Here is a 26,034-nt window from a genome sequence, read left to right on the forward strand (position 1 = left end):
CATATTTGATTGCATTTTACTTTCTGCTTTTCTCTTGTACATATGCAGTATATTGTAAAGTAGAAATCCTTCAGGGTCCCCTATTATGTTTTTAAAAGCATTTTTAACTGCTGCATACTATTCCATGATAAGAATATATCAAAGTTAATGTAACAATTGATGGACATTTGCTTTGTTTCTACTTTCTTTGCACTAATAAAGTTTCAGTAAACATCTGGTCTAGTTCTTAAGTACTGGTTTAGTAAAATGGATGAAGAATGATTTCTCCTGTTACTTTAATTTTCATCTCCTTGACCATTCTTGAAACAACCTCTTTCCCCCATATGGCAAATGTTTACTGAGCACTTTACCTGAGCCAGGCACTGTGAAGTAAACAATTTAAAGTCAAACAATTACAAGATAGTATCCACCCTTAGCACTCTTAAGGGATGGTCCTGAAATGGCTGAATCCCCAGATTCCTGAATACTACTACAGCATATATTTTACCACATTAAGTACAGCTCAGATATAACTGAAACACTTAGCTGACCCCCCTTTAGATTCTTATGATTGCATACATATACCTAAAGACATTGATAAAGCTTTTTTTTTTATCGTGGTGCAGAGCTTATCTGTCTTAAACATTAACATTTTTTCACTTCTGCCTCCAACATTAATAGATAGATTTCTCTTGGTAGCCCATGTTTTATAAAATAATAAAAATTTTAATCACTTAATGAGTGACAAAACACTATACCTGGTCTTTTGTTTGTTCCACTTTTAATTTCCTTAATTACAAAATCTCTTCAGAGGTTACAGAAAACTTGAAGGGTGTGGGAGAATAGAATAATAATAAAGTGCATTTCATGCAGAGTATTTTTGCATTTTGTTTATATATGTAAATGTATACTAGGTGGTGATATAAACAGTAAATATTACAATGGGTCACAGTTTAACAAGTTTGAGAAACACTGTTACAATAAGGAAAAAGAAGCGAGTTTTGTTAAGCTATTCCTAGGTTCTCAGTTGAGACCTTCACTAGCAGACTACCTCTTGCATAGCAATCTTGTGGTATGCATGTTTTGTATTAATGCCTCAATACAATTGCAAATGTCTGAGTGTCCCAAATTTGGGGCAGAAGAGGCAGTCTTATGAATGGCCAAACTTTTCAGATTGTATATCCATGAATATCAGGGATCTATGGTGTACTGTGATATTTACAGAGGTAAATACAGAAGAGCACAGAAGTAATATGCCTGAGTCAGACTAGAGTTGTTGACCAGGTAGAGGATTGTCATGGGCAGCTTCCCAGAGGAGGCAAAGGAAAATAGCGTCTTTAGCAGCAAATAGGAGTTATATGAAAACAGAAAGCTATTCTATTCAAGGAAGATATAATAGGTGCATAAGGGTATAGAGATGTACTGAGTAATAGTGGGCTTTGTCAGCAACAATTGGTTATAGCATAGGGTTTTGGTGAGAGAATGGTGCAGAGACAGGTCTGGAAAGTTTGGCAGGAATCAGTATGATCTGTTTTGCTATGCTAAGGTAGCTGAATTTTTTACCTCTCACAAATGAAAATAGTGTTAGCATTATTATGAGCAGTTGACAGTTTCCTTCCATGCTGTACTACAAAGGTTACCCATGAATTCATAAATCCTCTATCAATATAGCTAATATAGGAATGCTAATTTGGTTTTCTATAATATTTGTGATTTTTATAATAAGGAAAAACAAAAGACCAATTGCTATTTTGAAAAATATTTCTACAAAACACTAATAGGGTGTTTTCTTAATTATTCTCTACTACTGAACACTTTCCTAGTGCTTAAATATTCAGTTTTTGCCAAGCCAAGATGCCTTTGTTGATTTAGACCATCTGCCAGAGAAGTGATCAATGACATTAAATGGCTTGGCCCTTTATATTTTGGTTTCCACTGTAAACACATTCCTGTCTCTGTCTAAAGTATCTGTTTTTTTTTTTTTAATCTCTCATGCTTCTGGAGGTTATAATATCCTGTATTTATCACAGCATTCTATTGATCTGCTTTAGTAGGATCTTAATACATTTTTTTTGACAAATGGCTAAAAAACGCTTTGAAAAACAAATTGTATAATTGACTTGAATTTGTATCAGATGCTCTGTACAGCTCTGTAAATTAGTTATGCCCTACCCCGATAATTTTTGAATATATTTATTTTTAATCCCAGTTTATTAGCAACAGAAAAGCCCTTTGGTAGGATAAACTGTTCCCTTTGAGATCTAATCCTGTCCTTGTAAGGATAGAATTGAGTGTGTTCCTCATTGCTGTAATTAGGAAAAATACCTCTACATTAAAATTTACAGTCTTTATTTGGCAATTTATATGTTTCTTATATAATAAGAGCTTGATAATAAATGCTACTATCATTCTCACCTCTCTTTTCCTTGTAAAACAAGATAACTAAACTTTCTTGTACAATGCTTCATTGTAATTAGGATGATGAACGTATCAGTTATTTATTGCTACATAACAAATTATCCTAAAACCTAGCAGCTTAAACAACAGACATTTGTTATCTACAGTTTCTGTGGGTCAGGGTTCTCCAGGCACACTTTGTTGGGTCCTCTTGCTCAGGGTCTCTGGTAAGGCAAGAGTCCAGGTATTGGCCGGGGCTGCAGTCATCTCAAGGCTCCACTGTGGGTGGGGAGAGTCTGCTTCTAGGCTCACTCAGTGTTGTAGTTAGCAGGATTTAGATTCTTGCAGGCTGTCGGGCTGAAGGCCCCAGGTCCTTGCTGGCTGTTGGCCAGAGCCCTCCCTCAGCTCCTGCCACATGGGCCTCTAGGGCAACTCAGCACATCTGGCTTCCCTCAGGCTGATGAAGAAAAGGTAAGCAAGAGAGAAGAACAGCAGGTGGCAGATTCACTGGGAGCCATCTTGGAAGCTGCCTACAACAGTGGAAGACCCACATATACTTATTTTCTTGTTATCTAAGTGTCTCTCTCATGTATTTAGGTCTTTCTTCTATGGTTCTTATGTGTGGGCATATATGGGTACCTATGTGTGTGCACATGTGGGTACATCTGAACACCTGCTGTATCATTCTTTTTGTCAGATAGGATTATTAGCTTAAACAAAACTGCATCTTTACTATGTTTTGTTTTCTTATCTCATTATAGCAACATTCTCACTTTAACATCACTCATTTCTTCTTTACAATTATTTCTGTTAACATTTAATACAGAGCCTGGTCTATAATAATTGCTCAGATTTGTTAAATGAACTTGTAAAGTAGTTTATTTTTAGAATTTTATTCTGCAAAACCAAGCATATAAAAATAGAATAATATAATGAACTCCACAGATCCATCAACCAGCTTCAACAATTATTAATAATTTCCCAGTCTTGTTTTTATTTCTCCCCTCCCACCCCCCAGAGTCATTTAATGTAAACCCCAGACATTCTGTTATTTTACTTATAGGTACTTGAATATGCATCTCTAACATAAAGGTTTTTTTAAAAAAATAGATTCCTTGCCACCGCCATATCTAACAGAATGAACAGTAATTTCTTATCATCTATTACCTATTTCATGTTCAAATTTCCCTGAATGTCCCAACAGTAGCTTTTTGTATATAGTTGGTTTATTTTAATTGGGAGTTAAACAGGGTTTATGCGTTTTATTTGATTGGTAAGTATGTTAAGTGTCTTAATTTATAACAGATTATAGAATTAATGTAAATGGTAAATTTTGTTTAAGTAAGTGGATTTCTTATTTGTTTAACATAGTATCCGTTTCCCCTTCATAGTAGTATCCCAGTTTCCCCAGGAGGAATTAGTTCTTTTTCGCTGGTTATAGTTGAGAAGACCTAGCTATAGTCCCGAATAATCTGGGGCACCTGACTCAAAGTAATCCTCAGATGTTCCTCCTCCTGAGATCCTGAGCATAGAGGCAGGACAGTTGGAATACCGTTTTGTCTTAATGGACACATTCTGATTGAACCTGCATGGATAACTTTTAGCTGATAGAGATCCCTTGGACCCTGCCTGCTTTCCTTTCTTTTTTCTTTCCTTTTTTTTAGAATTTTTATTTATTTTTATGTTTTATTTTTTGAGACAAGAGTCTTGCTCTGTCACCCGGGCTGGAGTGTGCAGTGGTGCAATCTCGGCTCACTGCAACCTCCGCCTCCTGGGTTCAAGCAGTTCTCCTGCCTCAGCCTCCCAAGTAGCTGGGATTACAGGTGCCCACCACCACACCCAGCTGATTTTTATATTTTTAGTAGTGACAAGGTTTCACTTTGTTGGCCAGGCTGGTCTCAAACTCCTGAGCTTGTGATCGGCCTGCCTTGGCTTCCGGAAGTGCTGGGATTACAGGCGTGAGTCACCACGCCCGGCTGCAATTTTTTTTTTTTTTTCTAAGATGGAGTCTTGCTCTGTTGCCCAGGCTGGAGTGCAGCGGTGTGATTTCGGCTCACTGCAACCTCCGCCTTCTGGGTTCAAGTGAGTCTCCTGCCTCAGCCTCCCAAGTAGCTGGGATTATAGGTGCCTGACACCATGCCCAGCTAATTTTTGTATTTTTAGTAGAGATGGGGTTTCACCATGTTGGCCAGGCTAGTGTCGAACTCCTGACAGTTGATCCGCCCACTTCGGCCTCCCAAAGTGCTGGGATTACAGGCATGAGCCACTGCGCCTGGCTGCAAATTGTTCTTAACAGTGGCAAAGCAAATTCCCTTCAAGAATTCTTGGTGTTTTTAGCTAAAGATCTGTTTTTTTCACACTCTTAGCCTCACCTTATTTAATGGATTGTACCAATGAATAATGGACTCCTTTGAATGTAAATATTTTTGTGTGAATTCATTGCTGGAATAATTCTGGACTTTTAATAAACATATTCAATATCCTGCTACTGATGCTGTGATAACTTTGTAAATTTAATATTATAAATTTCCAGAATGCCATACTCTTAAGCAATGTGTAGAAATGTCTTTGAAAAAGATCCTAAGGACTTTTTATGAAAAATAGCAAATTAGGGCCATTTTTTTAAAGCCCTTTCTAAATGGACAACAATGAAAATGTTTATAAATATGTTTAAACCTCAATTATGTTAAAAGTAGGAAAGCCACCACCTTATGTCACAAACTCTGGAGACTATAGGCAGACACAATTTTAAATCAAGTGAAAAACCAAGTCTTCAATAATCGAGACTCTTTTGCTTGAGAAGATGCTAAAATGTTGTAGGAGCAAAAGGAACAGTGTGGAAGAGACAGCTGAAGAAAATACAAAGGGATATTTACCTAACAAAATGGAAGAATTATTTTACCACAGCTACTTAACACTGTCAAGGACATTTAAAAATCAGTTGAGTGAGGAGGAGCTCTATGAGATGGGATAAGACAAGAAGATATGATTAAAGGAAACTGTTGAGGTAAGAATTTTGAGGATAGACCAATGATATAAAAAGCTAAAAATTCATAGTGGCTGCAGTAAGCAGAATTGACACTGTAGAAAGAGGGAAAAAAACATGGAGTAAAGATTTCAAAATCATACAGAATGCAGAAAAGGGATAAGAAATAAGACTAAGAGAAGCTGATCTAAACTATGGAGAACAGAAGAACAGATAATTGCTGTGGCTGAAAAAGAGCTGAATAAGTCAGTAAGAATTCATTGGATATTTATTTTTGAAGTTGATAGTACATTTAAACATTTTATTCAGAGACACATGTATTGTCACTGGTAAAATGAGAGCAAGCTGTATATGGTCCAAATTGCCAGCTCAAAAGCCAAAAAAAAAAGAAAACCCAATTCTTTTTTTTTTTTCATATAGCAAAAGAAAGAAAATAGGAAGGAAGCATTAAAAAATGTAAAGATTAAATAAGATGAATGACAAGACCGAATAGCTGTTAAACCCCATGTAACTTGGGTATTCTCATCTACTAAAATCTCAGATTGGGTTAAAAAAACAAAACCTAAAAAAAATAGTCTAAAACTTAAATGAAAAAGATGGGCAGTGATATTCCAGGGAAATGTAAATAGGAGGTTGAAAGGGTTGCAATATTATGACCCAACAGAATTGAAGAAAAAAAATATTACATAGGAGTAGAAAACTTTGTAATGCTGAACGGTACAATCTACCCTAAGATGTAACTCTCTGGAACTAAATAGCACATTGAATATACCGATGAAACATACAAAAGAAACCAACCATAGGGAAATAAAATTGACAAAAGATTACAGACATTGTATGGATATAGATTCCTGTCTGGAATTATTCTCCTGGCTCACTAGTAATGAGAATTACCTCTAAGTATGAATGAATACTTAAAATTTTTTTCTCTAATTTCTTTGGGAGACAGAGTCTCCCTCTGTTGCCCAGGCTGGAGTGCAGTGGTGCGATCTTGGCTAACTGCAACCTCCGGCTCCCCGGTTCAAGCGATTCTCCTGCCTCAGCCTCCTGAATGACTGGTATTACAGGCGCACACCACCATGCCCTGCTAATTTTTGTAATTTTTAGTAGAGATGGGGTCTCACAATGTTGGCCAGGCTGGTCTCAAACTCCTGACCTCAAGTGATCCACCTGCCTTGGCCTCCCAAAGTGCTAGAATTACAGGCGTGAGCCACCGCACCCAGACATCTCTAATTTCTTTCTGACAGTTTTTCTGTCTATACTTTACAACCACTGCATCACAGTTCTTTGAATATGAGGTGTTCAGTCTGTTAAACCTACCGCCTTTTGCTCTCAGCAGACAGACCATCTTCTATTTCATAGAGAAAATAGAGGGTGTAAGACATAAGTAACCTTGCCTTTCTGCCTACCTTCCCTCACCTACAAACAATTTGTTTCATTACTAGTAGAAGACATGTTTTTTGTCCTAACGCTAATGCTTGCCATTTTTTCTCCTTCTCTTTTAAGTGTCAACATCATGTCTCAGGTGATTAACAGACCTGTATCTGAAGCTCAGGTCTGTCCATGCTCACACCCACAAAGCCACCTGCCTCCTGGACATCTGTCTTCCTGGGATGTCCATCAACATCTCACACACATTCTCAAATTTGAACGCATCACTTTCCTCCCTGATCTTGCTCCTCCTCTGGAATCCCTTCAGTGAAAGGAGCCATACGCTCCAGGAGGCACATTTCCTGAGGGCTGTGGTTGGTGATTGGCAGGGAGTGTGGTTGTAGTGACCTAAAAGAAAGTCTTTGTGGGTTCACCTGTATTAGGGTTGTTTTAGCTGTGAACAAAAACATTTTGTCATGTTATCTATAAAAACCAGCAGTGTAATCATCCTTTTGGCAATGGAACATTTGGGAGAATTATCTACTATATGATTGCTACTTTTTGGCCCCCAAATCACACCTTTGCTATGATTCTTGGGGTAGAAAGATAATTTCTCTTCACTTTGAATATGTGAAGCAACATTCTCCATTGCCCAAAGAAGACGTAGACTCATAAAGAACAAATTTTAAAATCCCCTGGAAAACAGTAAAAACGTTAAGATGGGAACCACTATGGTAGGGAGTTGGTGCTGGTGGCGCTGGGCTGTGGCAAGGGGAGCAGGGGTGTACAGACAGGCTGTGTCTATAAAAGAGCGGACCATGCATTAGCCAGTTGTGGTCATGCTTTTACTCATTGACAGCAATACTGTATCTTCACAAAGCATTGTGAGAAACGATAATGATTGGTTAGTAATATATTTTAGAAGGATGTGATCTCCTAAGTAAAAATAAACTCAAGTTTCAGAGAATTTTAAATTGCCCTTTTCTTACTCATTAAAAAGTAAGAAGAAACTCTATTTTTACTATCTTAATTTGGAAGAGTTTAAAAACATATATTTTTTTCATTAATTGGGTATTGTTACATTTCTCCTGTATTTTTTCTTATATTTTCTTGTGTAACTTTAGTGACAAATTACTGTAGAGGCATCTGAATTTAGGACTCTTGGAAGGGAAGGGGATGGAGGTAGGAGGGATGGTGCCAGTGAATGATGTCTGTCTGAGAGAGATTTATGTTTATGAAAAAGGAAGTGAGTGGATTCCTAAGATTGTGGTTTTAAGGCCTGAATATTGCTTTAAGAGTGTTTAGAATTGTTGGGGCCAGGATGAAGGTTGAGAACTACAGGTTTGAGATCTTAAGAAAAGCCAGGACCAGAAAGATCTGTTCTAGTTATTTCCAGCTACGGGATGCAGCTGAATGTCATTTGAAAACATTTTTCTCGTTTTTTAGCATCTTTGACTGAAGGCGAAATCTTCATGCCTTGGAGGGAAATTCCTAGTGCCACAGCATAAAAGGACCAGCAGCAGCAAGTGTGATATAATTACTGATGCCTTTAAAAGATATGCGAGCCCTTTGGGTATATACCCAGTAATGGGATGGCTGGGTCAAATAGTATTTCTAGTTCTAGATCACTGAGGAATCGCCACACTGACTTCCACAATGGTTGAACTAGTTTACGGTCCCACCAACAGTGTAAAAGTGTTCCTATTTCTCCACATCCTCTCCATAAAGACACATGCACACGTATGTTTATTGCGGCACTATTCACAATAGCAAAGACTTGGAACCAACCCAAATGTCCAACAATGATAGACTGGATTAAGAAAATGTGGCACATATACACCATGGAATACTATGCAGCCATAAAAAAATGATGAGTTCATGTCCTTTGCAGGGACATGGATGAAATTGGAAATCATCATTCTCAGTAAACTATTGCAAGGACAAAAAACCAAACACCACATGTTCTCACTCATAGGTAGGAATTGAACAATGAGAACACATGGACACAGGAAGGGGAACATCACACTCTGGGGACTGTTGTGGGATGGGGGGAGGGGAGAGGGATAGCGTTAGGAGATATACCTAATGCTAAATGACGAGTTAATGGGTGCAGCACACCAGCATGGCACATGTATACATATGTAACTAACCTGCACATTGTGCACATGTACCCTAAAACTTAAAGTATAATAATAATTTTAAAAAAAAGAAAAATAAAAGATATGCGAGCCCTTATTTCTGCAGTTAGCATGTTGAGCCAAATTAATAAATCTTCTCAATGTTCAGTCAAGCAATTTTTTCTTTTTATCACTTTAATATAAGGACCATGGAATAAAGTCTTAAGCTAAGCCAAAAGATGGTTAAAGATAGGACGTATTTTTACCCACAAATAAGGTGAATACCGACAGTGTAAGGTGCTCTTCCTCAGGCCATGCCGTTTGCTGTCGTGTTTTCTGCTTGCTGGTTTCTGGTGCGTGTGTATTTGCCTCCTTAAGGGAGTAGCCTTTTGCTCTTTATCCCATGTGTCAAATATCAAAACTCACTGACATTGACCAATCATTATCAAAAGTGGATGTTTAAAATAGATCAGGAGGTAGCATACCACTTACAGGTATTTTTGGTTTTAATGTATTGAAATGCTAGTAGCTTAAACTGCATTGTAAGCAAGGCTTTGAGTAGGGGACACATTCTAACAACTTTCTTAGCAGGTCCTTTAAACTTGCTTTTTGGACTCCTGTCACTTGAATACCGTAATAAAAAAAGATAACTACTTGCATATACTATTTTATTTAAGGACAATGGCCTAGAAGATCACAGTTTAATTTATTTTCTTTTCTTTCCATCTATATTTTCTGTTAGATATTAAGGCTAAGACATACTGCATTTGTAATACCAAAGAAAAACGTTCCTACCTCAAAACGTGAAACTTACACAGAGGATTTTATTAAAAAGCAGATTGAAGAGTTCAACATAGGAAAGAGACATTTAGCCAACATGATGGGAGAAGATCCAGAAACTTTCACTCAAGAAGATATTGACGTAAGTACAGTTACTCTGTTGAAAAAGTAATTGCTGTAGAGTTTTAGATATTAAAAGCACTTTTCTTCATGAGCCCCTTAGCTCTGTGTTTTAATCAAGCTGTCAGAATAAGGAAAAATGCTGCTATACATTGTTTAAGTTGGAGCCATGGTTTCAAAGACAAATGTGCAGGATTTACTTAGTATGGTGAGTTTTAGGTGTTACCTAGAAATGAGTCTATAAATGCTCATACACTATTGGGAAATGTTTAACCTGTTGTGTAGTCTTAGACTCAGCTTTCTTACAAAATGATATAACAGATGGTAATGAAAATAGAGTCAAATTTATATCAAGTCCCATAAGTAAACCTTGGCCCAGTGTTTTTGTCAACTTAAATATATATCTGAGGTTTCAAAATGGGGGCGTAGTCTAAGTGATTTGAAAATTAGGATCAGAATTCTATTCACTCTTGAATTATTATATTCCTGATAAAAGCAGTAATTGTCGATAATATTTTTGCTAGACATCCTAGAGTAGCTAGCAAAGGAAGTTGAATTTAACAACTTTGAATCTTGTCCTTATTTTTAAAAAGTAACATCTAATATCCCATGATGTTTTATATTTAATCGAAGAACAACATCTTTGTATAGATAATAACATTCTTATACGATTTTAATATTATTTTTAGTCATTTTATGCACTTTAGTTTAATTTCAATCTTTCTGTATACTTTTCCTATTTATAAATGGTACTGTAGTATCACTTTCAGACCAACATTTTTTATTCAACCAGAAGGATTTTTTTCTTTTCTTTTCTTTTCTTTTTTTTGAGACAGAGTCTTGCTCTGTTGCCCAGGCTAGAGTGCAGTGGCACGATCTTGGCTCACAGCAACCTCTGCCTACTGGCTTCAAGCAGTTCTCCTGCCTCAGCCTCCTGAGTAGCTGGGCTTACAGGCACGCACCACCATACCCAGATAATTTTTGTATTTTTAGTACAGATGGGGTTTTACCATGTTGGTCAGGCTGGTCTTGAACTCCTGACCTCTGGCGATCCACCCATCTCAGCCTCCCAAATTGCTGGGATTACAGGCGTTAGCCACCCGGCCCGGTCCAGAAGGATTTCTTATTGCTCTTCTATGTTAGGTGATTTGTAATTAGGGACTTTGTAGCTGCTGTCCTCTTTTTGAGTTTTATGGTAATCTGGACAGTATTGGGGGATATTTTCCATAAAGAGATGCTATTCTTCAGTTAAGTATAAAATACCATGAGATGTTAGATATTACATTTTAAAAATTAGAACAAGATTCAAAGTTGTTAAATTTAAGCTCCTTTGCTAGCTATCCTGGGGCATTTAGCAAAAAAAATTATTGACCATTATTGCTTTTGTCAGGAATGTAATAATTGAAGAGTGCAACAGGAATAGAATTCAGGTCCTAATTTTCAAATCACCTAGAACATAGACTCTCTAGACTCTAAGTTTGCCTACCCCGGACTTTCATATAAGTAGAGTCATACAGTATTTGGTCTTTAGTGACTGACTTGTTTCACTTAGCACAATGTTTTCATGTTTATCTACATTGTGGCATGTGTCAGTACTTCCTTTTTATTACTGAATAGTTTTCGATTGTATGGATATACCACATTTTAAGAATTCAGTCATCAGTTGATGGGCATTTGGATTTCCATTTTTAGTTCTGATGAATAATACTGCTAAGAATGTGCATGCTATAAAGTTCTTGTGTAGACATATGTTTTTATTTCTCTTATGTGTATACCTTAGAAACCATTGCTAATCCAAGGTCATGAAAATTCACCCTTATATTTTCTTCTTCTAGTTTTGTAGTTTTAGCTCTTACATTTAGGTCTTTGATCCATTTTAACGTAATTTTTGTGTGTGATGTGAGGCAGGGATGTAGCTTTGTTCTTTTACATATGGACATTCAGTTGTTCCGGCATCATTTGTTGGAAAGACTATTTTTTCCCATTGAATTATTTTATCACTTATATTGAATATCAGTGTAACTATGAGGGCTTATTTCTGGACCTTATTTTATTCCATTGATCTATACATTTATCCTTATGCCAGTACCACTTTGTCTTGATTACTGTAGCTTTATAGTAAGTTTTGAAATTGGGAAGTGTAAGTAGTCTTCTTTCCTTCTTGCTTTTAAAGACTATTTTGGTTGTTCTTTGCTCCTCGAATTTTCATATGAAATTTTAGGATCAGCTTGTCAGTTCCTGCAAGGAGCCACCTAAGATTTTGATAGGGATTGTGCTGAATCTCTAGATAGATTTTGAGAGTATTCCCATCTTAATGTTAGTTAAGTCTTCTGATCTCTGAACATGGGGTGTCCCTCTATAGATACAGATCCTTTTTAATTTCTCTCAGTGATGTTTTGTAGTTTTCAGAGTCTAAATTTGGCACTTTTTTGTTAAATTTATTTCTAAGTATTAATGTCTTAACTTCTATTGTAAATAGAATTGTTTTATTTTATAATATTTTTGGGTTTCTTATTGCAAGTGAATACAGTTGATTTTTGTATATTTTTGATTTTGAATCTACATCCTTGCTGAACTTACTAATTCTCATAGTTCTTAGTGGATTCCTTGGGATTTTCTAAATACAGGATATAGCAAGATAGCCCATATATAGAAGGGTATAGCAGGATATCCCATATATTTACGAATCCCAAAGAATCCACTAAAAACTACAAGAATTAGTAGGATATTTCACCTGAAAATGGAAATAGTTTTACTTCATTTTTCCTATTTGGATACCTCTATTTCTTTTTCTTACCTAATTGCCTTGGCTAGAATGTCTAACAATGTTGAGTAGAAATGGCAAGAGTGGATGTCCCAATTTTGTTCCTGATCTTGGGGGAAAGCATTCAGTCATTCACCATTAAATATGATGTTAGCTGTGCGTTTTTCATGGGTGCTCTATCAGATTCAGTAAGTTTTTTTCCATACCTAGTTTGTTGAACTTTTTTGTTGTTGTGGTTAGTGTTTTTGTCACGAAATGGTATTGGATATTGTCAGATGCTTTTCCATTTTGATGATGATTTGGTTTTTGTCTTTTGTTCTGTTGGTATGCTGTATCACACAAATTGATTTTTGTATGTTAAACCAACCTTGTGTTCATGAAATAAATCCCACTTCTTTGGTGTGTATACTCTTTTTTTATATGTTTCTGGATTTGGTTTGCTAGCATTTTCTTGAGGATTTTTATGTCTAATTGATATTGGTCTGTAGTTTTCTTACAATGTTTGTCTGGTTTTGATATTGGTAATACTGGCCTCATCGAATGAGTTAGGAAGTGTTCTCTCCTCTTCTGTTTTTGGAAGAGTTTGTCAAGAATTTGTATTAATTCCTCTTTAAGAATTTGGTTGAATTCACCAGTGAAGCCATCTGGGCCTGGGCTTTTCTTTGTGAGTTGTTGTTGTTGGGTTTTTTTAAATGCTTACTTTTTAAAATGGTCCTACCTCCTTGTGGTCTGTGTGTCCCAGAGTAACTGTTCTTAGCAGGAGGATTTCATTACCCAATTGAGTTTACTACTAAGATGTTTTTGAGCAACTCTTAACTACCTTTTTGGTTTGTCTGTTTGTTTGACTGATAAAGACAAGGTCTTGCTATTTTGTTGGCAGGCTGGTCTGGAACTCTTGGCATCAGGCCATCCTCTGACCTTGGCCTCCCAAAGTGCTGGGAGATTAAAGGCATGAGCCACCACGCCCAGCCCCACTTCACTACCTTTTTGGATGTACATGGGGCATATGTAGCTTATTGAAAAAAGCAGAATCATTCAACAATTTTGTAATTTTATCTGAAGGTATAAGTATTTTCACAGTGTAAGTATTAAACATGAATTTTGTTGTTTGGAGTAGTTTGTTCATTGCTTGGATGTTTACCCAGAATATTAGTTTGGGATGTTAATATTATTTTCATGAGGACTTAATTTATATAGAGTAGCTATGGTCTATAATTTAATTCAATTACATAGTTAAAAGTCTAGGCTCACTATAATTTTCACATAGACAAATTAGGCACCGTTGTATTCAGATTAAGCTATTAGTTATTTTATATATTTTAGAAACTAGTTTTTTCATACTAGTTATCCAATTACTAAAATAATGATCGTGAAGACCATTTATGAATTGCATTTGAGCAAAACATTTAAGATTTAAAACAACCCTTTCATATATTAAAATATCTTTTAAAGTATTTACAACAGATACAAACTGGTGATTCCATCTAGAATACGTTTTTAATAGTTAGAGAAATCTAAAAGGATCCTGTAGCTTAGTGAATACATTCACATTCAATCAGGTAGAAACCAATTTTAAACAATGTATTTAGTTCTGGTTCTCAAAATATAGAATTATTTTCCAGAGAAGAGATACTTAACATCACTATGTAAAGATAAGTGGTGGCAGCTATTCTGTACTTTTAAAACTCTGTGTGTGTATATATGGTAAAAGCAACTTGATGTCATCTTGTGTGATTGTGTTAACAGAATATTATAAAAATCTACCTTTAGATTTAGCCAATTAAGTAATCAAATCATGAATTAATAGGAAAAACATCCAATTGCTTCTTTAAAATATATAGACTCTTCTAAAATGAGGTTGAATTTATTGTGTGGAATATAAATGCAGAACATACAGAAAGCTTTATTAGATTGATTTTTTTCTGTCTTTTTATTAAAAATTCATTGTAGTTGAAATGATCTTGTAGAAAAATACAGGACCTGGGATTTAGAGATTCCTTGTGATGTCACTAACTAGTGTCGTTGAGCAAGTCAGGGCTCTCTGTCACTTGATTTTCTTATCTCTAAAATAATAATACCGACTTGTCTACCTCAGAATATATCTAAAAGGCATGAGATTAATGCAGTGTGTTATTATTCCTGTTACTATTAACAGTAATAAATACCATCTGCCATAACTGGAATCATTCTCCAGTTCTCTGCTTTGTCACACAAGTCTTCCATGCCACCTGAGAATGAGTGCTGGGGAGAATCATCTGAAACACTGTTGGGTACATTGATTTATCACTGATTGACTATACGGGAGGTTGCTTTTGTCTCCTGTAGGTTGATATTGTCTCACCTAGCTTGGTATCTAAAAAGCCCATATGGAAGTGAGTGTTAACCGTTTTCCTTGACACCAGTGACATAATTCTGCTGTGCTAGACTTTGCTGCAAGTGATTGATCGGCTTCGCTGACTCTTGTGGCATTTTATTAAATATAGCGGACCCCTTTTGGTATCGCATTTTATTAAATATAGCGGGCCCCTTTTGGTATCGCATTTTATTAAATATAGCGGGCCCCTTTTGGTATCGCATTTTATTAAATATAGCGGGCCCCTTTTGGTATCGCATTTTATTAAATATAGCGGGCCCCTTTTGGTATCGCATTTTATTAAATATAGCGGGCCCCTTTTGGTATCGCATTTTATTAAATATAGCGGGCCCCTTTTGGTATCGCATTTTATTAAATATAGCGGGCCCCTTTTGGTATCGCATTTTATTAAATATAGCGGGCCCCTTTTGGTATCGCATTTTATTAAATATAGCGGGCCCCTTTTGGTATCGCATTTTATTAAATATAGCGGGCCCCTTTTGGTATCGCATTTTATTAAATATAGCGGGCCCCTTTTGGTATCGCATTTTATTAAATATAGCGGGCCCCTTTTGGTATCGCATTTTATTAAATATAGCGGGCCCCTTTTGGTATCGCATTTTATTAAATATAGCGGGCCCCTTTTGGTATCGCATTTTATTAAATATAGCGGGCCCCTTTTGGTATCGCATTTTATTAAATATAGCGGGCCCCTTTTGGTATCGCATTTTATTAAATATAGCGGGCCCCTTTTGGTATCGCATTTTATTAAATATAGCGGGCCCCTTTTGGTATCGCATTTTATTAAATATAGCGGGCCCCTTTTGGTATCGCATTTTATTAAATATAGCGGGCCCCTTTTGGTATCGCATTTTATTAAATATAGCGGGCCCCTTTTGGTATCGCATTTTATTAAATATAGCGGGCCCCTTTTGGTATCGCATTTTATTAAATATAGCGGGCCCCTTTTGGTATCGCATTTTATTAAATATAGCGGGCCCCTTTTGGTATCGCATTTTATTAAATATAGCGGGCCCCTTTTGGTATCGCATTTTATTAAATATAGCGGGCCCCTTTTGGTATCGCATTTTATTAAATATAGCGGGCCCCTTTTGGTATTGCATTTTATTAAATATAGCGGACCCCTTTTGGTATTGCATTTTATTAAATATAGCGGACCCCCTCCACCTTTGTGGCACCTGAGTAGATGTAAAAGCAAAAGAGGACAGACAGTGACAACCGTTACCAAAGAATTAAAATTATATACTCATATGGTTTTCTGTTTTCATTTATGTTTTTTAAACTATTGTTTTTATAAGTGGCTCAGCAGTATATATCAACTGAAAGAAACACTATGGCTGATGAGTCAGCATTTCCATGCTGCAACAATGGGTTATTCCTGAAAACAAAAATAATTTATCCAAAATCAAGAAAATATTTTAAGCTTCCTTTGCAATTGCTGTTACATATTTAGAAGTTATAATGGTTTTAAAATGTTTGGCTTTTAATATATTAATTAAGACTAGGTGCAGTAGCTTTTCTCTAATTATTTAGTTTGATCAGGAAGTTAGATATTCCACAAAAGTGAATTTTCCAGATAAGGGAAACCTATTTTTAAGTGTTATTTGTAATGAAAACTACTACCACATACTAAAAACCTTCTATGTTATGTGTGAAGTGCCATCTTGGAGCCGGATGTACATTGCCACATTTTATCTTTGTAAAAACCTTATGGGATAGGTATCTTTTTTTTTTTTTTTTTTAACAATACTAAGGCTGTACACTGTTCTTTCTACTCTTTCAGATTAATTTTTTAGGTAACATTTTCTAAAATAAATTTCAGTCTCCCCAACCTTATTTAGTAGGATATAGTGAGTATAATTTAACCTTACAGTGCTTTAGTATTTTCCTTTTTAGTATGTTTGTTAGCCCCTGACTGTGGCTTGTAGAGCACAACTGTCCCTGTGGTGAATGGCTCAGCTATGCTGTATTACTGATTCTTGTCATCTCCCTTGCTGTCAGGATGTCTTATGTCTACGTGTCTGCCTCTAGCCACCCTCACCTGTCTTCCAACCTTCTGGCATAACTAAACTCGTTAAGTGTGTGAATTAAAACTAAAAGCCATTGGACTCTGAATGAGGCCCTACGTGCCCCTCCTAGTAAGTAAAATTCATGAATTTATGTCAGCTATTGCAGTTCTTTATAGGTCTTTTTCATTGATTTCCAGTTTTACAACTTTACTTCAGAGGGTTAAGTTTGAATAGAAATCTGGCCTTGCTGAATACAGCATATATAATTTATGTGTGAAAATTACACCTAGCTAATGTAATATACTAGTGCTTCCTTAATAAGGTTTATTAAAGAGTACAATGTGAGTTGGTAAAAAGGAATAAGATGGATAAAATTTTTTAATAAAAATAATTCTGCTTGTCACTAGTGGTACTTATTTTAAAGTTTTATCACTTAGAAGATTTATCATTATTAAGGCTACAGGATTCTATATATTTCAGAATTTTTTTTTCCAGAATTAGCTCAAATTGGTGCTCGACCTTTTTATTAAGTTTACAAGAAAAATATTATCTTATTGGTGAAAAAGTAAAGTATTATAACTAAAAAGGAATTAGTAATTGGCAGGTATAGAATCTCTTCATTTCAAAGTAGTTTGATTTTTGCCCAGTTTCTTAAATTATATTGAAACAAAATAAACTACCTATTGTTCTTACCCACTGAACCATGATGGTGCTACTGATAACCTTTAGAAGATCTAACAGGAGGAAAAACGGGTAGCCTCTAACAAAATTAGTAGTGTATATGGTGTTATGCTGAAAGTACTTTAAATGCAGGCTAAATATTTAGCAAATAGACCTTAATGCTGTTATCCTCAACTCCTGTTTCATCAGTCTTTCACAGGTTACTGCCAAATGTTGATCAGTGTGTAAAAATTTTTTTTTGGCTGTTAACAGTATACATAACTGTTAGGAGGAATCTGTCAGTTGGAACCTTGAGCTGAGTGAGTCTTGTTGTTTAGTGTAAAGAAAATTTGGTGTGTATGGAAACTGAAGAACTAAGCCCATGAGTGTGTAACAGAGGCAGCAGAAACAGTTTTCCTTATTGACCCCAAGACTAAAGAACAGCTAGGTGAGGAGTGCAGCAAGTGCCAATGGAACTTTATAGACCTTGTAACATCTCCTTGTGCTAGAGCAGACGTGGGGTAACAATGATTGCTAACCTGTTTAGTGAAGTTTCTTAATCCTGTCATGTGTACCATCAAAAATTCTTTTACTCAAAATCATACTGTAAACACCAAAAAGTTGAGGACCACTGATATTTGCATTTTCCTTTTCCATTGAAGCATGTAGTTGTTATAAAGTTTAGTTGGGAGACCTTTCTGTTATATTGAATATTATGAATACAGACTTGCACTTGCGTTTACTAATGTCTTTATTTGGGAATTAAAAGTTAAGTTCTACATTACTATAGAATTTCAGGAAAAAAGCCAGCAAATTGATATATAGCACTCCTGAAGTCTACCAATTACTTTTTAATTGGTATTATAGACCTCATTCTGAAACCAGAATGTTTTATTCTCCTAAGTGTGAATATGCTGTATGAAGTTTCTCTAATTGATTTGCTGTGCCCATTCCATTTGATGTATCATTTTTCACAATATTTCATAATTTGTGCTCACTTCTAATGAACAGAGTCGTTAGGACAGGCATGTCTAAGTACAACTGACAGCTAACATTAGGTGCCAGATGCAGTTTATAGAGCTATGTAGAACTGTAGAGAACAGTTTAAATAAATTAGCACCTGTACATTAGTCTCACTTGCTGGTAATTTATAAGCGAATCAGTAGAGATGACATTTAGGTAAGTCATTGATCAAGTTAACAGCTGCAAACCCACTGCCCAGCTGGGATGCCTAATTAATAGAGATTGCATTCCTGACCCAGTGCTTCTGGGTTGAGTCTGCAATTCTTTCATACTTTGATTTAAGTCTAAGAACATACTCAAATACTTTGCCTTCATTTTAGGGAACTGTTGAATATCAGTATTCTAGTTAAAACCTAAAAATGGAAGAAACATGTTTACTAATGAGGATTACCTTACTCCATTTCTTATTTGGATTAAATTTTTAAAATTTGCATTCTTACTTTTTCTTTCTTTTCTCTCAGCACTTTTTGTTTTGGATTCACATTAAGTATAGATGACATGCTGTAGTTTAATGAGTTTCTTTTTTTTTTTTTTCGAGACAGAGTCTCTCTCTGTTGCCCAGGCAACAGATCGTGCAGTGGCACGATCTTGGCTCACTGCAACCTCCGCCTCCCAGGTTCAAGCAATTCTCCTGCCTCAGCCTCCTGAGTAGCTGGGATTACAGGTGCCCACCACCATGCTCAGCTAATTTTTGTATTTTTAGTAGAGACAGGGTTTCACCATGTTGGTCAGGCTGGTCTCGAACCCCTGACCTTGTGATCCACCCACCTCGGCCTCCCAAAGTGCTGGGATTACAGGCGTGAGCCACTGCGCCCGGCAGTTTAATGAGTTTCTAAAGAGTTCTGTACTTACTAAATATATGCTCCATTTTTTCTTTTGGAAAAAGCATGGTTTTTTGCTTTTGTTCTGTGGGGTTTTTTTTTTTTTTTGGTGACCAACCAACCATTGAACCTAAATTATATGTGTAACAATTTCTTAAAGTGTAACGTTAGTTTGAAACACCTAACAACTTTGCCAAGTTAAATTTCATACCAATTTTAGAATTGAATATGGGAAATTTTAAGCTACCACTTATTTTGGGAAAATGCCTTTTGTTTTCTATTCCTGTGGCAGATTTTCTTCTGAGTGAATTTAAAACTGAAAGATTAGGACATCGGCAACCTTAAAGAGTAAGGTGATGATTTTTGTATGTAGTTGAGCTGTATGGACGTGGATGGTGAGGATGTTTGAATACTAATGTGTTTACTAGAGGCACCACCAAAATCTGGTTCTTAGACTGGGAAAAAGGTATCTTGAAACACTAATGCTAAACCAAATACAAACCCAAATACCTGGCTAGCAGGATTGTTTTGAAGCTTATGGAAAAACCATTAACTGAGTCCCAATTGATACATATGTTTTCATTTTTTGTTTTTTTTGTTTTTTTTTTGTGGAAGGGTTGGGTATTTCTTAGTTTAAATAATAATTTTTCATGAAGGTTGGTTTAGGAGTGAAAAGGTGTTTATTTCAGATAATTATGAAATTTCTGTTAATTCTGTCATGGTTGGTAAACTTGTCCCAGTGGGCCAAACCACAATTTGGATGTGAAATGCCAATTTTCCTTTAATTGTAAGATGCTTGGGGGCCCAAACCACTTGCTGGCACTTTTTTTCTAGTGCCTAGTAAGTGCCACACACGTTCTGGGGCCAATGAACACTGACAGTGAACAGATAGGTTAACATTAACAGAGAGTCTTTTCCTCACCACCTTCCCCCAGTGATTTTCTGGTTGACCTAATTTTACCTTTCATAATATTTAAATTTTGCATTATTTTTCATGCTAATATAGATGTTTCTGAATCACATAACAGGAAAACTGCTAAAAAAAAAAAAAAAAAAAAAAGACCCTGAAGTATTCTAACATTTTATTTGCCTTCATGGTTCTCATTTTCTTTTCTTATATTTCTGAGCCTTCCCCAACCACATCTTTGCCCTAATCTAAAATTTTTTGTGAAGTAGCCCTATTACCCCAACCATTTTTGTTACTTATTCTTTGTAATTATCTTATTTGAAATACCCTCCTTAGTGTTAATTTTATATTAAGCTTAATGCTTTATGTTGGATTGGGAAATTACAATTGTGTGTTTTTGTTTTTATTTTTTTGAGACAGAGTCTTGCTCTGTTGCCCAGGCTGGAGTGTAGTGGTGCAATCTCAGCTCACTGCAGCCTCCGCCTCCTGGGTTCCAGTGGTTCTCCTGCCTCAGCCTCCCAAGTATCTGAGATTACACGTGGCGCCACCGCGCCTGACTAATTTTTATGTCTTTAGTAGAGACGGGGTTTTACCATGTTGGTGAGGCTGGTCTTGAACACTTGACCTCAAGTGATCTGCCCACCTTGGCCTCCCAAAGTGCTGGGATTATAGGCATGAGCCACTGCACCTGGCCGCTATTGTGTGTTTTGGAAAACCCCAAGGACTCAGGAGATCAGCTCATGGAAGACTTTATCTTCAATGAAGTGTTTTCTCAATATGAGGCAAAGGCTTTTGAGTTTGAGGAGTAAGAACAAAGTTGTCTACCATTTGCAATGAGAACTTGGGAAAGTCTCTTGAGGCATTGGCATTTGAGAGAAATAGATAGAGGAAGCCAAAGAGCAAATTACTGGGGGTAAGAGTAAAGATGAAAAGTTAAATATCGTGCCGGGTGCGGTGGCTCACGCCTGTAATCCCAGCACTTTGGGAGGCCGAGGCGGGCAGATCACGAGGTCAGGAGATCGAGACCATCCTGGCTAACACCGTGAAACCCTGTCTCTACTAAAAATACAAAAAATTAGCCGGGCATGGTGGTGAGTGCCTGTAGTCCCAGCTACTCAGGACTTGAGGCAGGAGAATGGCGTGAACCCGGGAGGTGGAACTTGCAGTGAGCCGAGATCGCATCACTGCACTCCAGCCTGGGCGACAGAGCAGGACTCTGTCTCAAAAAAAAAAAAAAAAAAAAAAAAAAAGTTAAATATTGTATTGGAAGGGCTTGAGCAAATGCCTTTCTACTGAAATAAACCTCAAGTTACAATGCCCTAACAGACCAGCTTACAGGCAGTCAAAACTAAAACAGTCGGATGTGTGGCACTGAGCTGGTTTTGCGTAGCCTGGCTTTGAATTAGGTCTGCATAATCGTGGTCAAAGAAGTTGAAATCTTAACATTGGGCCTTGTGGGGTGGGAAGGCAATCTGAGAGGAAGAAAGCTGGAAAGCTGTTGTGCTCCCTGAGTGGGCCTTGCTGCTGCTACAGGGGTAGTATGGGGTGAGCTTCCTCATACCTGCGGCAGAGACTCCAGTGACAAGAGACAGCAGTAACTTCAGCAAGACAGTGCTAGTAAGATTATGCCTGGCGCTGAAATGCAGACTGCGGCAGATGCATTTTGATGTTTTTCTGACACACAGAATTTCCAATAGTGCATCACTACCCGCAGCAGGTTTAGAGAGAAAGGTGATAGTGCCCCATTCCTCCCCACCATCCCTGCTTTTATAATGGTGATGGGGAAGAGTTATTCCAGAACTGGACTGAAAGTTGCACTGCCTGGGGGGAGGAGCATTGGGGACAGTATTCCCTGGAGGGCATGTTGCAAGTAAGATACTGTTCGTATGGGTGCTTAGAGAGGACATTATTCCTTCAGGTGGACCCTCCTAGAACGTAAGATGGAGGTCTGTGCTTGTCATTTTGCTTTGTTGGTTTTTCTTGCTTATGCTTTGTTCTAGGAGAAAGAAACTGCAAAAACAAGCAGAAAAGGTTTTCAGTATTTGTCACAACTTGATATTTATATGTTTTTCTTTCTAGTAGCAAGTTAAAATTAACTATGATTCAAATGAACAACAAAGGATAGGGGGAAAACTGGAGCTGATCCAGTAAGGACCTCTGAATGAATACAGACTACAAGAAGTCTGATTGGGAAAGTGAAGGCTTTTGTAATATTACTCTCATTTTTACTCCATATACACACTTCTGTTACACACACACACACACTCTCTCTGTCTGTCTTTCTCTCTTACATTTTCCTACTCCTTCTTGTTTGTAAATATTTCCACCCACATACCCAACTTTGAAGTCCAGGCTGAATGAAATAGGGTATCTAAACCCAGTTCTCTTACCTTTACTCTTTAAGATAGTAAAGTTAGGCTATCATGCTTAGTAGCAGAGGGCCTCTGTAGTGTTAAGAGATGTCAGGAAACGCAGCCTTACAGATGGTTGTCTTGATACTGAGTTACCCGTCCAAGCCCTCAAGGAATCGAGTCATAGATCTAAGTACTGAAACACTGCTTCCAGCCTTTTCACTTCACAGGAGATAAAGTTAGGAATGGCCGTTATTACCAGCTTTGTCGTAGAAATCCTCTATTTGGAGACTACTTGGTTGTTAATATTCTGTCTTGTAACAATAGATATGTGTTTGTTAATTTAGACCAATAACATTACATTACAGACTTTAACCTTGTAACCATTTAATGAAGTTTAAAAAACCTTGCTGAAATACACCTCAGTAACATTAGTACAGTGCTGAGTTGCATGATTAAAATTAATTGGCAGTAAATAAAATGGAATTGATAGTAAATAAAATGAAAATTTACTTCCTCGGTTGCACCAAGCACATGTCAGTGAGCGTAGTAGCCACATAGGCTACTGGCTGTCATTTTGAACAGCACAGATTATATAGAGTATTTCCATTATCAGAGGAAGTTCTACTGGACATGTTAGGATTGCGCCCTTCATTTCTTCCCAAGTAAGAATTTATAATTTTTGCTTTGCGTTACTTACAAGAAAGATAATACTTGGAAGTATAAGTAATATTTGTTTGCAGTTTGTATTTTGTCTTTCATTGAAACAATTAAAAACACCTGAAGAATTGGCTTCAAAAACAGTTCAAAAATACTACAAAAGAGAAAATAGAAATTTAGAAGTATAGAACATGGTTGCTTCTTTTATCTGAATAAAACAGCAATGGGCAAGGTGCCGTGGCACATGCTGTAGTCTCAGCTCCTTGGGCGTCTGAGGCAGGAGGATTTCTTGAGCCCAGGAGTCAAGGCTGTAGTGCGCCATGATCACATCTGTGAATAGCCACTGCTCTCCTGGGCAACATAGTAAGACCCAGTCTCTAAAAAACAAACAAAAATTTATTAAAACAATCACAAATTATAGAAGAACAAAAGGTTATATGACTTTTATGTGTATATACATATGTATTTATGTATTAACATGTATGTTGCATGGATGTTGGAACCAGAATTGAGAAATATCAAAACACTCTAATCTAATAGCAACAGCAGTAAATACTAATTTGTGTACTTTTTCTTATGAAAACTTTCATTCATACAGAAAAAGAGAATGTCTGTCACCTGGATTAACTTCTTAACATTTTGCTATATTTGCTTCAACTGTATGTTTTTTGGCTGCACTATTTTATTTTAAAGTAAAATACAATTGCAAACATCATGATGCTTCACTCTTAAATACATCTTCAAAAAATTAGGACATCTGCTTATATAACCGCAATATCACTATCACATCTAAGAAAATTAATCTGAATATAGTCTATAGCAGGAGGTAGAAAATTTTATCTATGAGTTTGTATTTACATTTCCCTAGTTGTCTATAGAAGAGTTCTTATAGTTGGTTCTCTCAAGGGCTCTGCAATCCATTTGGTTGTTGATTTATTCTTTGAGTATCTGCTGTGTTCTAATTCTGAAGTGAGAAATTATTGACTAAGACAAGGTCCTTTGCCTTCAAAAACACACCTGCAGACACGACCGAGGTAAAATCAAAGATTTGGCAACAGCACATAGGAGAAAGAAGAACTGGTAGAAAGCAAAATAAGTTATTTGAGGAACAGTTTTGGATGTGCTGTTTGGATACATAAAGGGAAAAATCCCTAAAGCAATTGACAAATAGTTTAGAACTACGGAAATAGATTTGGTCTCTCTCCCTACAGAAATTTGCTAGAAAGGAAGAGAATCAAAGATGGAACTCTGAGGAAGCAGCACTTAAGGGATGAGCAGAGGTGTGTTTAGGAGAGATCAAGAGGAAACTTTCAGAGAGGTAGGAGGGGAATGTGGCTGCAAGAAGGAAGGGAGACAGCGGTCTCATATGGATGAGACCCGAAAGTAGGTCACAGGGTTTGGAAAAAGCCCTCAGTGACCCTTGACAAAGTAATTACAGGACCAGAATTATGGCTAGGCCAGATTGAAATCTGGGGAAGAAAGCAGTGGGTACTTCAGGGAGTGGGTGGATGCTTCTCAGGACAGGAATGTGAGTGAGAATTGAGTTGTTTATGGGCCTAGATGCCACCAGGAGCACAGTCTTGTTTAGATGGATGCTTCACATGATCCTTGAGGTTGCTCACAAATGTGGCATCATTGGTATGGAAAAGAGAAAGGTGGGCCTCACCCCTTTGTGAGTGCTGTGAGCGATGTGGAAGCTGAAGGCAGTGACAAGGATGGGGAGGGAACGGAATGGCCAGATGGTGTGGACCTTGAAAGAGGCTCGTTCTCTGTTTGACTAAGGTGGCACTAAGAGAAGTAATGGAGAGCCCAGTGGAATAGGGAGGACTTCCAGACAAGGCTGCATTTGGTCTACAATCTTGAAAGATCTTGAAAGACAAACAGCAATGTGTTAAGTGGAGAAGTAGAACAACAGTATTCCAGGCAGACAAAACAATTTGCAAAGGCATTTGTTTAGAAAGGAAGAAATGACTGGTAAAAAGAGAAAGATGCAAAGTATCACTGAAAAGAGTAGATGACCACTCTCCTTTGTACCCTCTGTGTAACCTGTAAGTATTTCTATCATAGGTCCTGTGTATATTATTTTTTCATGCCGTTTTATGTGTACTATTACAGCAGCCCCTATATTTGAGACTATGTATACATCTGTCTCCACTGATAGAATGAGGTCAGGAGCCATATCTTAATTTTTATCTTTCTAAACTAGCAGAGTGCCTAGAACTCAGGTGGGATAAATATTTGTTGAGTAAAATGTATTTAGGTAAATAATCTATTTCTTTCTCTTTAAGCACATTTGGCTTTTTCTCCTAATTTTACTACTAAATAGCTGGATATCCTTGATGTCAGTGAAGAAGTGAATCTGTTATCTGAGAGAAGATTGGTTCCCTGGTGTGGACAAAGGAGAGTACATTATGAAATTAAATTTCAGAAGGTTCAGGTTCTGGCTTTGCCATTTACTTCAGTGTAAGCTACTTAACTGCTGCTTCTTGGTCTGTAAAATGGAGCTCATGAATGCATGCTATTTTATGTGAAATAATGTGCTTTACAAAACTGAATATTTTTGTATAGTTAATTAATATTTAGTGAATGACTACTAGTTGTATTTTTATAAATACCTTTTTAAATTCTCACAACAACTAGATAAAATTGATATCCTTGCACATCAGAATCACTGGGAGTGGTAGTATTTGAAAAGTCTTCTTATGGTTATAATAA

At 36.8% G+C, this 26,034-nt stretch overlaps 1 protein-coding gene across 3 annotated transcripts in view; it reads left to right on the plus strand.

Annotated features, from left to right (window-relative positions):
• Positions 1 to 26,034, plus strand: part of MRPS9 (mitochondrial ribosomal protein S9) — a 61,892-nt gene that overhangs the window by 1,510 nt on the left and 34,348 nt on the right. For 2 of the 3 annotated variants that reach the window (NM_182640.3, XM_047445533.1), the window contains exon 2: positions 9,593 to 9,772. In NM_182640.3, coding sequence (NP_872578.1) covers positions 9,593 to 9,772 — 180 coding nt within the window. Of the gene's footprint in view, positions 1 to 9,592; positions 9,773 to 17,858; positions 18,006 to 26,034 lie in introns of those variants that run through there. The other variant, XM_011511644.3, reaches the window with a different exon arrangement.

This window comes from Homo sapiens, chromosome 2 (assembly GCF_000001405.40).
Source record: "Homo sapiens chromosome 2, GRCh38.p14 Primary Assembly".
NCBI lineage: Eukaryota > Metazoa > Chordata > Mammalia > Primates > Hominidae > Homo > Homo sapiens.